Source organism: Homo sapiens, chromosome 2 (genome assembly GCF_000001405.40).
Source record: "Homo sapiens chromosome 2, GRCh38.p14 Primary Assembly".
Classification (NCBI taxonomy): domain Eukaryota; kingdom Metazoa; phylum Chordata; class Mammalia; order Primates; family Hominidae; genus Homo; species Homo sapiens.
The window spans coordinates 105,251,152-105,267,847 of NC_000002.12; the positions used below are offsets into that span (position 1 = coordinate 105,251,152).

At 46.4% G+C, this 16,696-nt stretch overlaps 1 protein-coding gene across 3 annotated transcripts in view; it reads right to left on the reverse strand.

Annotated features, from left to right (window-relative positions):
* TGFBRAP1 (transforming growth factor beta receptor associated protein 1) overlaps positions 1-16,696 on the reverse strand; it is an 80,332-nt gene that overhangs the window by 1,748 nt on the left and 61,888 nt on the right. For 2 of the 3 annotated variants that reach the window (NM_001142621.3, NM_004257.6), the window contains exon 12: positions 13,263-16,408. The exons of the other annotated variant lie outside the window; for it this stretch is intronic. In NM_001142621.3, coding sequence (NP_001136093.1) covers positions 16,232-16,408 — 177 coding nt within the window. In that variant the 3' untranslated portion in view covers positions 13,263-16,231. Of the gene's footprint in view, positions 1-13,262; positions 16,409-16,696 lie in introns of those variants that run through there. 3 annotated transcript variants of the gene reach the window in all.

Consider the following 16,696-nt stretch of genomic DNA (forward strand, 5'->3'; position numbering starts at 1 on the left):
CCCGTCTGGGATGTGAGGAGAGTCTCTGCCCGGCCGCCCCGTCTGGGAAGTGAGGAGCCCCTCCGCCCGGCCGCCACCCCGTCTGGGAAGTGAGGAGCGTCTCTGCCTGGCTGCCCATCGTCTGGGATGTGAGGAGCCTCTCTGCCTGGCTGCCCAGTCTGGAAAGTGAGGAGCGTCTCTGCCCGGCCGCCCATCGTCTGAGATGTGGGGAGCGCCTCTGCCCCGCCGCCCATTGTCTGAGATGTGGGGAGCACCTCTGCCCTGCCGCCCCGTCTGGGAGGTGAGGAGCGTCTCTGCCTGGCAACCGCCCCGTCTGAGAAGTGAGGAGCGTCTCCGCCCGGCAGCCACACCGTCTGGGAGGGAGGTGGGGGGGGATCAGCCCCCCGCCTGGCCAGCCACCCCGTCTGGGAGGTGAGGGGCGCCTCTGCCCGGCCGCCCCTACTGGGAAGTGAGGAGCCCCTCTGCCCGGCCGCCACCCCGTCTGGGAGGTGTACTCAACAGCTCATTGAGAAGGGGCCATGATGACAATGGCGGTTTTGTGGAATAGAAAGGGGGGAAAGGTGGGGAAAAGATTGAGAAATCGGATGGTTGCCATGTCTGTGTAGAAAGAGGTAGACATGGGAGACTTTTCATTTTGTTCGGTACTAAGAAAAATTCTTCTGCCTTGGGATCCTGTTGATCTGTGACCTTACCCCCAACCCTGTGCTCTCTGAAACATGTGCTGTGTCCACTCAGGGTTGAATGGATTAAGGGTGGTGCAAGATGTGCTTTGTTAAACAGATGCTTGAAGGCAGCATGCTCGTTAAGAGTCATCACCACTCCCTAATCTCAAGTACCCAGGGACACAAACACTGCGGAAGGCCGCAGGGTCCTCTGCCTAGGAAAACCAGAGACCTTTGTTCACTTATCTGCTGACCTTCCCTCCACTATTGTCCTGTGACCCTGCCAAATCCCCCTCTGCGAGAAACACCCAAGAATGATCAATAAAAAAAATAAATAAATAAAATAAAATAAAATACTGCTGCCGTATTTCCTCCTTTTGGCATTTTTGCGGTGGTCTCATGAAGACTTTAGATGCTTTATTACACCATAACAAGAGAGTCACTAAGCTCACTGTACAAGATAAAAAGACTGAATGATTTTAAAAATGCACAAGGAACAATGGGAAGCTTAATTTGCTTTGAAACTATCTGAAACAGGAGGCTCTTTTTCCCCAAGGCCTTGGAATTCTCTCTGGAATCTGAAGGGGCTCTTGGGGAGCAGCCAGTCTAGGCCACTAGAAAGTCCTTTCCCCCTTGCAGGGGGTTCTGGGGAGTGCCGGAATGCATTCCCTTCAGACCCACACAGGTGGCTGTGGGCACCATGCGGTTTCCCTCCAGCCAAGCCCAGATGGGGCCCCTGGCTGCTTCCACATTCCCCAGGATGATGATCCATGATTTTTTGTCCCACTCATCTCTAAATCTCTGTTATACTTCATGGGAGCCTCCTTTTGCCTGCATGTCCTCTTCATTCCCCTACCTTCTTCTCTGGTTTCCTTCTCCTTAAACCATGCAATAAGCAGATACCAGCCCTTCCTGTGATGTGAGATGATATTAACATCTTTTTTTTTTTTTTTTTTTGAGACAGAGTCTTTCTCTGTCGCCCAGGCTGGAATGCAGTGGCGTGATCTCGGCTCACTGCGACCTCCACCTCCCAGCTTCACGCCATTCTCCTGCCTCAGCCTCCCGAGTAGCTGGGACTACAGGGGTCCACCACCACACCCGGACAATTTTTTTTGTATTTTTAGTAGCGACGGGGTTTCACCGTGTTAGCCAGGATGGTCTCGATCTCCTGACCTCGTGATCTGCCCGCCTCAGCCTCCCAAAGAGCTGGGATTACAGGCGTGAGCCACCACGCCCAGCCAAGGTGATACTAACATCTTAAAACTTAAGTTATAAATTGTGTACAAGAATGACATATATGAATAAATGCCCCTTAGTTTTTTGTTTGCTTGTTTTTTGAGATGGAGACTAGCTCTGTTGCCCTGGCTGGAGTGCAGTGGTGCGATCTCGGCTCACTGCAACCTCCGCCTCCCGGGTTCAAGTGATTCTCCTGCCTCAGACTCCCGAGTAGGTGGGATTACAGGCATGTGCCATGACACCTGGCTAATTTTTTGTATTTTAGTAGAGACAGGGTTTCACCATGTTGGCCAGGTTGGGCTTAAACTCCTGACCTCAGGTGATTCGCCTGCCTCGGCCTCTCAAAGTGCTGGGATTACAGGTGTGAGCCACCGCGCCTGGCCTTGTTTGTTTTTTTTAAAGAACAGGGTCTCACTCTTCCTCCCAGGCTGGAATACAGTGGCGTGATCATAGATTACTGCAGCCTTAAACTCCTGGGCTCAAGTAATCCTCCCAGCTCAGCCTCCTGAGTAGCTGGGACTACAGGCGTGTGCCACCATGCCTGGCTAAATTTTAAAACGTTTTTTGTAGAAAGAGGGTCTCACTATGTTGCCCAGGCTCATCTGGAACTCCTCGGCTCAAGCAATTCCCCCACCTCAGCCTCCCAAAGCACTGGGATTACAGGCATTAGCCAATGAACCTGGCCTCCTAGTTTAAAAAAATTTTATCTCCTGATTCTTTAAAATTATAAAAGTAACGTGCTCCTTGTAAAAACAAAACAAAAACCAAACAACCAGTGTGTTTATTGGAGGGTTTTTAAAACTAGTTTTATTATTATGTATAAAAATATGCTTTTTCTTTTGCAAAATTCAGATCATACAGCATCACAACTTTGTGGCCCGGTTTTTATCTTTGTTTTGGTTTTGTTTGCTTTTGTACCATTTTTGGAAGTGATTTCTGGTGGCCAGGAGTTCTCCATTGTGGTGATATGCCTCTGATACTTAAGGCTTCCTATTTTGGATATTCAAGGTTTTTTTTTTTTCTATTTTTTACCATTTAAACAAATGCTATAATGAGCATCCTTGACATAAATTTTTCTGCCTAGCTGCTGATCATTTTCCTAAAATAAACTTCTAAAAGTGGAAATGGTGGTTTCTGGTGCCATAATAAAATCGCTTTTCAGAAAGTTAGTGTCAAGTTATTCTCTCACCAGCTGAGCTGGAGAATTCCCAGAACCATGGGAAAGTCTTGGAGAGGTCACGAAGTACTTCTCATCAGCCACCCCTGGCCCTCACAGGCAGGCTGTGTCAGGCTCCTTTGGGCCACAGGTTGGATTATGAATCAGGTTAAGAAGGTACTGGGGAGAGCAAACACAGCCTTTTTGACTTAGGAGGCATTATTCAAGAACTTTGCAGTTTTACAAAAGCTAAGACCAATTAATATATATTTACTAATTATATATAGGAGAGTATAAAAGAAACAATTATTGAAAGTATTTTGCACCTCCCAGAAACCAATTTGGGCTGGAAGAATTGCTCGTGGCCACTTCAGGCCCATTTGAGTCACCTAGACTCAAGAAACCCTTTGAACAAGCAGAAGTAAGTATGCTTTCTGCCTGCCAGGCTGGCCTAGGAAGGGTTTCCAGACTCGTGTCCTGTTTCTGGCCCCTTCCTACTACTATGGCATGAATTGCGTCTCCCTTGCCAAATTCATATGTTGAAATCCTCACCCACAATGTGATGGCCTTAGGAGGTGAGGCCTTTGGGAAGTGATTAGGTCATGAGGGTGAGGCCCCCATGATGAATTAGGAAAAGAGGTAGAGACCCCAGAGCTTCCTCTCTCTGCCATGTGAGGACGCAGCATGAAAGGGGCCATCTGAAGCCAGGAAGAGAGCCCTCTCCAGGAACTGAATCTGCTGGCATCTTGGTCTTGGACTTCCAGCCTCCAGAACTGTGAGAACTAAGTTTCTGTTGCCTAAGTCTGCAGTCTGTGGTATTTTGTTACAGCAGACCAAGCTGACTAAGACAGATACTCGGAGGCAAACTTTTCTGCCTTGTTGTGAGAAGTATATGAAAATTTTAATGTTCTATTCTCTGTCCTGAGAAGCAGAATACAATTTCAGCTGTCCCAGTGGCCTAATCAAAAAGATATAGTAACCATATTTTCTATTTTCTGTAACTGATGCTTTGATAACTGGGCCCTTGCTGACCCTAGAGGACAGACTGCCCCTCCCAGCATCAGCCAATTCCTAGAGGCAGTAAACAGCTCGCCCACAAGCAAGCTTTCCTTTCTTTCTTTTTTTTTCAGTGACAGGGTCTCACTGTGTTGCCCACAGTGCAATGGAGTGCAGTGGTACAATCATGGCTCACTGCAGCCCCAAACCCCTGGGCTCAAGTGATCCTCCTGCCTCAGCCTCCTGAGTAGCTGGGAATACAGGCATGTGCCACCACACCTGACTAACGTTTTACTTTTTGTAAAGATGAGGTCTCACTATGTTGTCCAGGCTGGTTTCGAACTCCTGGCCTCAAGCGGTCCTCCTCCCTTGGCCTCCCAAAGTGGTGAGATTACAGATATGAGCCACCCCACCAAAGAATGCTTTTCAAATGCAAAACAACCATTCCAGGGCTTACACCCCAACCACCTCCTTTATGGAGCTCTCACCCATGGGGTCGCCATCCACCTGTGCCAATCACCCCAGAGCCAGGTACCAAACAATTAGGGAAGCCCCTGCACCCCAAAGCCCACTGAAATCAAACCAGCCAATCCTAAGCCTGCTCACCCTGTCTCTCCCATTCCTTCCCATGGAAGCCACAACCACGGGAAGGCTCCTGACCACATTCCCCACCCCTTCCTCTGCCTCCTGACCAACCTGGTGCCTCTCCATGTGGCCCTGCATGGGATGCTGTGCCCCTTCTCGTGGGAGCTGTGGTAACAACCAACCTGTTCAGCAGCAGTCATCTCCTGATCTGTTGGCCTCACCATACCTCACGTTTTCTATTAATACTCTCTATTTTAAAGCAAAGTATTCTATGATGAGCTGATTGGCTAAAACAATTTGCATTCTGCACCCCCTCCCTTTCTTATGTTTTAAAAAACTTTGACTATGCAAAGCTCAAGATGAACAGGCAGAATACCAGAAGGAAATGTTGGCAGTGGCTCTCTTGGGTGGTAGAATTGTTGCTCTTTCCATAGCTCAAATACTTGTATTATTTTGCTTAGAACCAGGAGAAAGCCTCCCCTCCAGCCTTATCTCTCACCATTCCTCTGTTACTCCCTGGGGTCCTGGTTACTCAAACTGACCCCTTTCTCTCATTTCCAAGGGGCCATCACCTCGCTCACTTCTAGGGTTGGTCCTGCTGCTCCTTCTGCCTGGGGCACTTTTCCCCGACTTAAGGCTCCCCTCCTGGGCTTCTGGCTTACCCGCACTGCCCACTCTAGCATTTGTCCCACTCTGTTGTAACTGTCCCTGATTGTTTACAAGATAAAACAATGTAAACGTCTAAAGAGATTCCATTTCTTTGATTTTAGTCAGTTTACAAGAAGGTATTCCCTTTATATGAGTACACAGTCAAAAACTCAATTTTAAGCCTGCCCCGCCCAAAAGACAGGTTATCATATTACTGGTCTGGCTATATTTAAGTGCATTTTCCATGTATGTTAGTGTCAGAGGCGTCTGAACCAGAGCACTCCATCTTGAATAAGAGCTGGGTAAAATAAGGCTGAAACCTACTGGGCTGCATTCCCAGATGGTTAGACATTCTAATCACAGGATGAGATAGAAGGTCGGCACAAGATACAGGTCATAAAGACCTTGCTGATAAAACAGCTTGCAGTAAAGAAGCAGCTAAATCTCACGAAAACCAAGATGGCGATGAGAGTGACCTCTGGTCGTCCTCACTGCTACACCCCCGCCAGTGCCATGACAGCTTACAAATGCCATGGCAACGTCAGGAAGTTACCCTATATGGTCTAAAAACGGGAGGCATGAATAATCCACCCCTTGTTTAGCATGTAATCAAGAAATAACCATAAAAATGGGCAGCCAGCAGCCCTTGGGGCTGCTCTATGGAGTAACCATTCTTTTATTCCTTTACTTTCTTAATAAACTTGCTTTCACTTTATTCTATGGACTCGCCCTGAATTATTTCTTGTGCGAGATCCAAGAACCCTCTCTTGGGGTCTGGATCCGGACCCCTTTCTGGTAACATTAGTATTCTTGCCATTTTCATACTGTATTTTTTTATGGTGGTAAAATATACATAACATTAAGTTTATCCTTCTGACAGATTTTAAGTGTATAGTTCTGTGGCATAAATACATTTACATTGTTATGCAATCATCACCACCATCAGAACAGAAACTCTGTCCCCATTAAACACTAATTTCCCCTTTCTCCCTTCCCAGCCCCTGGCACCCACCATTCTACTTCCCATCTGTATGAACCTGACTATTCTAGGTGTCTCATAGAAGTGGAATCACACAGTATGTGTCCTTTTGTGACTTGCTTATTTCACTTGGCATAATGTCCTCAAGATTCATCCATATTGTAGTGTGTGTCAGAATTTTCTTCCTTTTTCACACTGAATAATATTCCATTTCATGGGTTTTAAATTGTATATTTAGTTACAAAAGTGTTATGTGCATAGACTATTTGGATGCATTTTATATAAAATTAGAATTGCTATTTCATATATTCATATCAACATAAAAAATATAACCCTATATCAGACCATCTAAAAGTCATCTGCTTATTGCCCTAATCCCTCCCATTGGGTCCAGACAGACCAACAAGCAAAGCTCCTGAATGGTCTAAGGTGGGCCCTTGAAAATGGGTTCAAAATCAGCACAAGGTCTTTGCCAAGACCTGTTGGTTTTTTCATCATTTTATCCACAGAACTTTGCACAATGCCTGGCACACTGCAGTCTCCCAACATATACTTGTGGAATGAATGAATAATTGAACACATGAATGAATGAATGAATGGAAAATGGAAAAACTGCCCCCTTTGCATGAAACACAGTTCTTGATGAGTCCCTCAGTCCCTGAGCTGCCTCCCTCTATGACCAGGTTATTGCTAATTCTGCAGTTGCATGAACATGATCATAAACTTGGAGTAAGTCACTGCTGCTGAGGCTCTGCCCCAGGAGGAAACAAGGCCACTCGCCAGCTCATCAGCCCCAGATGCTTCCCAGACAGAAAGATCCTTCCGTCTTCCTGGCCCACTGGATGAATGTGATGGTCAATTTCATGTGTCAATGTGACTGGGCCACGGGATGCCCAGATTAAACATTCTTTCTGGGTGCCTCTGTGAGGGTGTTTCCAGATGAGATTAGCTTTGGGGTTGGTGGCCTCAGGAAAGATCTACCCTTCCCTATGTGTGGGCATCATCCAATCCACTGAGGGCCTGAATAGAACAGAAGGCAGAGGAAGGAGGAATTTGCCTTTTTTTTTTTCTTAACTTGGCTCAGTGCTTGAGCTGGGATATCTCCTCTCATCTTCTCCTGCCCTTAGACTGGGATTTAGACCATCAGCTCCCTGGTTCTCAGGCCTTCAGACTTGGACTGAATTATGTCACAGGTCTTCCTGGGTCTCCAGAAGCTGATGGCAGAACATAGAAACTTCTCAGCCTCCAGAATGGCCTGAACCAATTCCTCACAATAAATCAGTCTCTCAATCACACGCCCTTTCTCTCCCCACCCCTACACACACACACACACACACACACACACACACACACACACACACTGTCTCTCTCTCTCTCCTATTGGTTCTCTTTCTCTGGAGAACCCTGCCTGTTGCAATGTGCATCCTGGCACGGCCATGGCAGTGGGAAAAGCTGACCTTCCCTGTCGGTTGCTGCTTAAGAAGCAGCTTGTTTTCCAGCATTTGTGTAAACACAAGATACCTGAAAATTACACCAGTAGGCGCAAATCGAGCACAGATGGGAAACTGGCACTGCCACTGCATGTTTCCAATGTTGAGTTGCATGAAATTACAGTTATGGGAGCAGAGATAATGATGGGTTTACAGGAGGCTCTCAAGTTTGATGTGATGTGACAGCCAACCTTCCCTCTGTAATTGCATAACCTTTGCTGTGGTCTATTCCACACGGAATCGCCCAGGACACTGGCCTGCAATGCAGGTGTGGAAATATGTTAGGAAATCTACAGCATCAAGACACCACAGCAGTGGGAGAAGGAGCCTGACCAAGGAAACAGGCTGGTTCTAATTTGCTGAGGCGCTGCGCCCCGACTGATACACAGGGAGAAGTGAATACCAGCCCTTCCCCTCCCAAGCCCAGACACAAACACGCATGCTGTCTATACTGCCTGCAAAGTCACTTCTTGCCCTCCCAGGAAAGTGAGGATAAATGTCCCCTTACTGTCCTGTGATCAGCTTCAGCAGCTCTCTGCACTTCCAGATGTCATGCAGTGGTGACCCTCTCAAAAACAGGAATTGGAACCCTACTAGCTGAAGCAACCATCCAAGAAGGGGCATGACTAGAGATCTGGGCACACAACACACCTCCTTCCCTTCCCAAAAGATGTTGTAGAGGTTTATATGAAGAGGGGTTGGGAAAAAAGATGGAAAATGTGCAAACCTTCATTAGGGGACCTGCTAATGAAACACACAGGGCAGGTGGCCACTCTGTCATCTGCTCTGACCTACAGGGCAGCAGCTGCCCTGTCTCTGGCCACATTTTCCTGTAAGTTAGTCTGGATCTCGTTCTGAATCAGCTTTACACAGACCTCTGCATAGGAACAAGTGTCACATCATGGATGGGGAAACCTTTGTGCCTTTCCTTGTTGGCAAAGGATTTTGAACCCATTTTCAAGGGACCACCTTAGACCATTCATGAGCTCTGCTTGTTGGTCTGTTTGGACCCAATAGAAGGGATTAGGACAATAAGCAGACGACTGTTAGATGGGCTGATATAGGGTTATATTTTTCTATGTTGATATGAATATAAAAAATAGAAATTCTAATTTTATATAAAATACATGCAAAGAGTCTATGCACATACACTCTTGGTGACTACACTATTTTAAAATCATGAAATGGAATATTATTCAGTGTTAAAAAGGAAGAAAATTCATGGCTGGGCATGGTGGCTTATGCCTGTAATCCCAGTACTTTGGGAGGCTGAGGCGGGCAGATCACTTGAGGTCAGGAGTTCGAGACCAGCCTGGCCAACGTGGTGAAACCTTGTCTCTACCACAAATACAAAAAATTAGCCAGGCATGGTGGCATGCGCCTATAATCCTAGTTACTTGGAGGCTGAGGCAGGAGGATCCCTTGAACCCGGGAGGCGGAGGTTGCAGTGAACTGAGATCTTGCCACTGCACTCCACCCTGGGTGACAGAGTGAGATTCTGTCTCCATAAAAAAGGAAGAAAATTCTGACGTATGCTACAATATGGGTGAACTTTGAGGACATTATGTCAAGTGAAATAAGCCAGTCACAAAAGGACACACACTGTGTGATTCCACTTTTATGAGACACCTAGAATAGTCAAGCTCATAGAGATAGAAAGTAGAATGGTGGGTGTCAGGGGCTGGGGAGGGAGAAACAGGGAGTCAATGTTTAATGGGGACAGGGTTTCTGTTCGGGATGATACAAAAAGTTCTGGAGATGCATGGTGATGATGATTGCATAACAATGTAAATGTATTTATGCCACAGAACTACACACTTAAAAATTGTTAGAATGATAAACTTAATGTTATGTATATTTTACCACAATAAAAAAAATACTATGAAAATGGCAAGAATATTAACATACATGCAAAATGCACTTAAATATAGCCAGGCCAGTAATATGATAACCTGTCTTTTTTGGGGAGGGCATAAAATTTGAGTTTCTGACTATGTTTACTCATATAAAGGGAATACATTCTTGTAAACTGACTGAAGTCAAAGAAACTGAATCTCTTTTGAGGTGTACATCATTATGTCTTGTAAACAACTGAGAAATGCTCTCCTGTACTCTGTGTTAAGAAAGTAAGTTTAGGATTTCAGTTATATTCGTTTATAAGCTTCAGTCAATAGCTGCCTGTAAGTCAGCAACATATTAAAAAACAGTTTGGAAATAGTTGGTGGGGTTTTACCATAATGTGCTGGCTGCAGAGGCGGGAGTGAGGGAGGGTAGGCCAACTGACCACCCCAGTTCTATCATGCACATTGCTGTGGAGGTAAATCATAAACATGTGTGGGCAACCAGACAGAGGCAGGGGCTGGGTGAGTCAGCTCAAAGCACGTAGCGTCATCTTAGCTCACATTCCTGTTGAGGTCAGGTTGGGGATTGGCCACCCCAGCTTCGTTGCACACACATGGATTCCGAAAGGGAAAAACTGATATTTCAAGCAAGACAAATGGAAAATGTTCTCTAGAGAAAGAGGAAGGACTTGTGAAACCTAGAGCACATGAGAAAAGGCAAGGGGAGCCGGGCACAGTGGCTCAAGCCTGTAATCTCAGCACTTTGGGAGGCCGAGGTAGGAGGATCACTTAAGGTCAGGAGTTCAAGACCAACCTGGCCAACATAGTGAAACCCTATCTCTACTAAAAATACAAAAATTAGCTGGGCATGATGGCATGTACCAGTAGTCCCAGCTACTCGGGAGGCTGAGGCAGGAGAATCGCTTGAACCCGGGAGGTAGAAGTCACAGTGAGCCGAGATCACGCCACTGCACTCCAGCCTGGGCGACAGAGCAAGACTCCATCTCAAAAAAGGACAGGACAGGCAAGGCAAGGCAAGGCAGAGGCTGGAGGAAAAGGGGCAACTGAAAACCACTTGAAAAAAGGTATGTGTAGACCAACTCCTCTCCTGGGTCCAGCTGGAACCGGGATTGAGGAGTAGAGTGGGCTAGAGTCACTTTCCAAATCAAGGAACCATGCAATGAGATTCCGGAGTGCTCAGACACACCTGTGGGGGCACATCTGTGGGATGTGTGCATGAGTCCCTGTGCTGGGTGCTTTCAAGGGCCACCTGAGACCCTGGTCCTAGAGGACATCTTTTGGTAATGAAGACTGAGACCACACTGCTACCCTGCCCTGACTTCCATTGCTTGGAACAGAAGGTTAACACGAGAAGGGAACTCAGATACTGCCCAGCTCCACCTCCTGCTTATGGACGATGCCACTGATATGGTTTGGATGCGTGTCGCCCTCCAAATCTCATGCTGAAATTAACCTCCAGTGTTGGAGGTGGGGCCTAGTGGGAGGTATTGGAACCCGGGGACGAATCCCTCACGAATTACCTCCCCGTGGTAAAGAGTGAGTTCTCACTCTGTTAGTTCACGTGAGAGCTGGCTGTTTAAAGGAGTCTGGCACCTCCTCCTCACTGTCTCTCTCCAGCTCTTGCCATGTGATGCATCTGCTCCCCCTTGGCCTCCCACCATGGCTGGAAGCTTCCTGAGGCCTTCCCAGAAGCAGATGCCAGCACCACGCTTCCTGTACAGCCTGTAGAACAATGAGCCAAACAAACCTTTTCTTTATAAACTATCCAGTCTCGAATATTTATTGAGAGCAATGCAAAAATGGACTGACGCAGGCACGGAAGTCTGGGTGACCTGACTTGCTGAGGACCACAGCCAGGTGTGTCAGAGCCCCAAGAAGCCCACGCTCCCGACACCTGACATTTGACTTCTCAAGTCATGCTCGTCCTGTTGAGTTGCGTGCGTTGCTTTCCAAGCTCTTCTTGCCACGTGATCTCATTTAACTAATTTACGACTCTGGACTGCAGGCTGAATGATAGCTATTTGTTTCCCTCCCCCAGTTGCAAGCTAAGGAAAAGTAGGCTTCATTAATTCAAGTGCTTATCTCCCAACAACTGCTAAGCCTTGGACGGTGCTCCAGCCAGTTAGCTGTTTTGAGAAGGTGAAAGGGCCTCTAGTCCATATGGTCTAGATTCTTGTACAATTTCGTTTCAAACGCTAAGGCTGACAGATCTGCTAAGAGCAAATGGGGTGTTAGTTAATATCTAATTACTCTAACACGAGTCACAGCCCATTTAACTGAGTCAGACACCAGTCTTTGCTTTCACTGACAGACACATTTAGGACATCAATTTACATACTCTCTCTCCAACCACTTAGCCTAATCTGCCGTTGTAACATTCTCACAATGCAGTTAGTGTGAATCTACATGTCTTCCTTTCCAGTCAGGTTTATAAGTCTAAAGGCCCCCTCTTACTTATTCTCTAATATGCTAATGGGCCTTCAGATACCAATGAGGTAAAAATGAGAAAAGAATATTGCACCTGCTGCTTTATGATTTTCTAAAAACCGCAATGCGATGGTTGGAATCTAAAAGCCAATGCGAGTCCACCCTGGGCTGTGTTCTGGTTATCTCCTCATGGTTGGTGAAGCCCCAGGTGGGAGGACCTGCAGGTGGGAGCCACAGATCTAGCTTGGCACCTCCTCCAACTCCAAGAAAACACGCTTGACACACTGCACCTCAGCTTCTTCAAATTCAAGTATGCGTGAGTTCATGACACCTTGCCTCTATTCACACGTATTTGGGATTCACCCCAATCCACTGAAATGAAATAGGGTCAGAATACTCGGGGGGCCAAGCATGGTGACTCACGCCTGTAATCCCAGCATTTTAGGAGGCCAAGGCAGGTGGATCACCTGAGGTCAGGAGTTCAAGACCAGCCTGGCCAACATGGTGAAACTCTGTCTCTATTAAAAATATATATTTTTTAAATTAGCTGGGTGTGGTGGACGGGCACCTGTAATCCCAGCTACTCGGGAGGCTGAGGCAGGAGAATCACTTGGACCCGGGAGGTGGAGGTTGCAGTGAGCCGAGATCACACCATTGCACTCCAGCATAGGCAACAAGAGCGAAATTCCATCTCATAAAAAACAAAACAAAACAACTCAGAGGATTATCATGTGTGTGAACATACCCCTTTCTTCAGGGTGGGAATAGCACCTGGAATTAAAGAACATGAGAAAGTGCTCTGAAATTCAACAGGATAGCTGAAAGACCTGCCATCAACAACAGTGTAGGGGATGAAGCAAAATTTAAAAGGTACGATTTTGTAAGAGTTATGTTCTTTGAATATGCTCAGGGTTAGAAATCCAAGAGTGCAGCCTTATTTAAGAGTATCTGGCTAAAAGGTAAAGTAGATAAGAAGTAATCAGAAGTCTCCCTGGTTGAATTCCTCAGTGCATGATTAATCTGATGGCAACCAATGTCAAGGAGCACCCTAAAATATGCATTGGGTAAATTCAGAAGCAGACACGTTAAAATTTGGTAAAACAATAGCAGAATTTAAGGGGTTGGCAACTCAAGTCCTCTGTAGGTGCTAGGAAAAGCAAGAAGGTACAGATTCTAGAACTCTTTATTTAGACTAGGTATGGTGCGAGTGAAAACCATCACTCCATCAAGGCAATTTTTATTTTAAAAAATTACAGAAAGAACAAAGAACTAAAAGAATTTTAATAAAATGAGCAAGTTTACATTTGTACATTTTGTGTATCTGGGACCCAATCGGGACAAAGGATAAAGTTGCAAGGACAAAGGTTTCTGTGGGAGAGCAAGCAAAAAGCAAGGGCTGCCCCAGTTGCATCATGGGCATCCATTCAGAGCTGGGACCCCGCAGCCACCTGCCTGTGCTCCGGAAGTGAGAAGCACATGTAAGCACGCGTCAGTGAGAGCGTCGCAGTTGAACTCAGCCCAGTGCAACGCAGCCTGAGTGACATCCCTACATTAATACTTGATAGGGAACAGCAGATAAACAGTTCCAAAAACCAAATGGTATTGCCCATAGAATATGAATGTAAACTGAGTTCAGTTCATGCTGTTTTAACCAGAATGGTTCCACTGAACCTAATGAGGGGAAAAAGGTCTGATGGATCTAATTGCTCTATTCGATGGCACAGTTACAAATCAGCAGGCCTGTGAGAAAGAACCATACATTTCTCTCAGAAATATGATTTGAGAAAAGGGCCTTGTAGGAGTGAGAGAAAGGTTAGAGAAAAGTACAGTTTTAACATATGAGACAATTCTTCATACTGTAATAGAATGCTGCTTGTGGTGAAGGATTTGGTAGAGATGGAAAACTGCTCAACTTTAATTCCCATTATTCTAAAGGATGACAAACATTTTAGAGTATTGATCAATGTTCAGTGAAAAAATAAAAATGACTAGTGTTGGCTGGGCGCAGTGGCTCACGCCTGTAATCCCAGCACTTTGGGAGGCCGAGGCAGGCAGATCACGAGGTCAGGAGACCGAGACCATCCTGGCCAACATGGTGAAACCCCGTCTCTACTAAAAATACAAAAATTAGCTGGGCGTGGTGGCATGCACCTGTAGTCCCAGCTACTCGGGAGGCTGAGGCAGCAGAATCGCTTGAACCCAGGAGGTGGAGGTTGCAGTGAGCCGAGATTGCGCCACTGCACTCCAGCCTGGGTGACAGAGTGAGACTCTGTCTGTGTGTTAGGAATGAGAAATTACTAAGTTTTTTCAAGATTTTACCCATTTTGTGTACAGAGAAATAAGCTTTTAATGGCGCAATGTTGCATATACGGGTAACTTGTTCTTTGAGAAATATAAACTCAAACTCACAAGTTGTCATGATAACATATGCAGTAATATGACCATTCTACAACAGAGTCACCCACAGGTAAAACACATGACTGGGCTTTGAGCTCACACCAATTTACACAGCATACAGTTGTGCTACAAGGAGAATTTCTTCATCATTTATTCTTTAGTTAATTGAAACATAGTCAGGAAAAAATGGTGCCAATTCCCCCCAAACAACACATGGATGTTTTTGCTTCTTGACCCACTTAGAGTCCCAAAAGGACAAAAAATACATGGACCAATATTAGTTCACGAAACATGTTTTAAAGAACAGAGAATGAGGTCTTCATCCCACCTCAGTAAGGCTTGGGCTGATGAAGAGAGGGTGTATTCAGGGTCCTCTCTTGTCATATGTACAAGCTGACGCTTGTTTCCCAAGCATGATAGTAGTGGGTAGACTGCCTTTATTGTTAGCCCCTAATAGAATCAGTCAGCACAATGAAGAAATTCCAAAGAGGGCAGTGAAGTGACAACAGCTTCAGCTCGTCATCGATGTTATACAGAAACACAAAAGGAATCCCCGGCCTGTGATGAAGGAGAGGCCGTTGCTGTGTGTTCAGGACACCTCAGAGCAGGCACATAAAGTGCTGGAGGGTGACACAGCCTGTCTGGATGTCCTCGGGAGGGTGTGCCATCCAGGAGGCGACACCCCCATCCAGCACACGGGCCCTTCCACCCGCTGTCGGTCCTGCTAAAGGTACGAGGCTAAAACCGGCCTCTCCAGAAAAGAACGCTCAGTGTGTGCTGACCACACTTCCCTTTGAATTTCCCGAGTATTCAACAGGAGATACATTTTAACAAGAAAAAATACCCCTAACAAACAGGACAGATGACTCTCTCAACAAGAGAGCAACTACGAACATGATACAAATTTAAATAAAAATGTTTAGTTCAACGTGTTCGTCATGGAGTTTCAAATCAGCAGATGCCATGACAGGAAAGGAGCACACAGCTGGGCCCTTGCCCGCCGTGGGTTTCCCGTGTCCGCGGCTTCTTCAAGGAGGGGAGAGCAGCTTCTCTCTTGGAGCGTTCTCAGTTTCTCAACAGATCTTCACTTGCTAGGCAGCCAGAAGCATTAGTTCACCCAAGAGTGAGTGCTTGGGTACACAAGGCAGAATCTTTTGGGAGCTGAGAGCCGGAGAGGAAGAAAGAAGGAACAAAGGTACTTCTCCAGGGTCAGCCGTTTCTGAGGGCAAAGGCAGAGCCCACGAGGTAACCCTGGGAAATGGGCCCATGAGTGAGCGGCGTGGATGGAGAACGTGTTTCTGCAGGAGGGCAAGGCTGACCCCCATGAGGCTCTGTGCCCTCGCCACTCACCCAGGCAAGAGAGGACTTTGTCGCCAGCCATGGTGAAGCCACGTTTCCAGTGCAAACATGAGTCTAAAGGTTGGAGTGTGGGGGTGGTGGGGGATCCCCCACCTGGGTCTGGACTGCATGAGGAAGACTCCCTTTTTTTTTTTTTCAAAGTAGACCTCTGTCTTGGATTACTATGTACCTGGACAGGTGAACTCTTGTATGTTTCTGTTTTGGGGATTTTTAGGGGTTTTCCATGTACATTCATAGAGCCTGGTCATTCCATGTACATTCATAGAGCCTGGTCAGCAGCGAGGAGTCCTTGTTGCGTATGGACGGAAGGCTCCCTGGCACCCAGATGTCTCCCTTCGTCCTGGCTGACACAGAGCATGGTGGTCATCTGCTCTTCATGTCCAGCAGGCTCAGAAAGAACTCGGAGTTCCCCTCGCACCCTTGGGCCAAGCTTTTCAAGTCCGAGTGCCAGGACTGGATGAGCTGGGGTTTGTGTGTCTGCTGGCGGCACAGTGGGTGTGCACAAGACCACCATTTGGGTATCTAACAAACACAGGCTCACAAAAGGGATTTTGGCATATCTGACAAAGCTTTTTGTCTGAGAGTTGGATTGAGCTTCCTTTCAACTTCATCTGCAAGAAGAAACCAAGACTGAGAATGCTGTCATGTGTTAAGTATATTTAAAGTGGCTACGTTCTAGTTTTGCAGAGTTGACATGCATTACTCCATGGGTTATTATTATGATGAGGATTTCTTTAATATCAACTTCTTGAAATGAAATGCTAAAGGTGTAAATAAAACCATCCTTAGTAACTGGACAAGGAAGAAAGTTACACAATTGCTTTTCTTATTTCACAAAAGTAATTGTTGCTTGTCTGGCTGAGGCATTTCTACTTAAGATCCTCTCTCCAACATTCTCT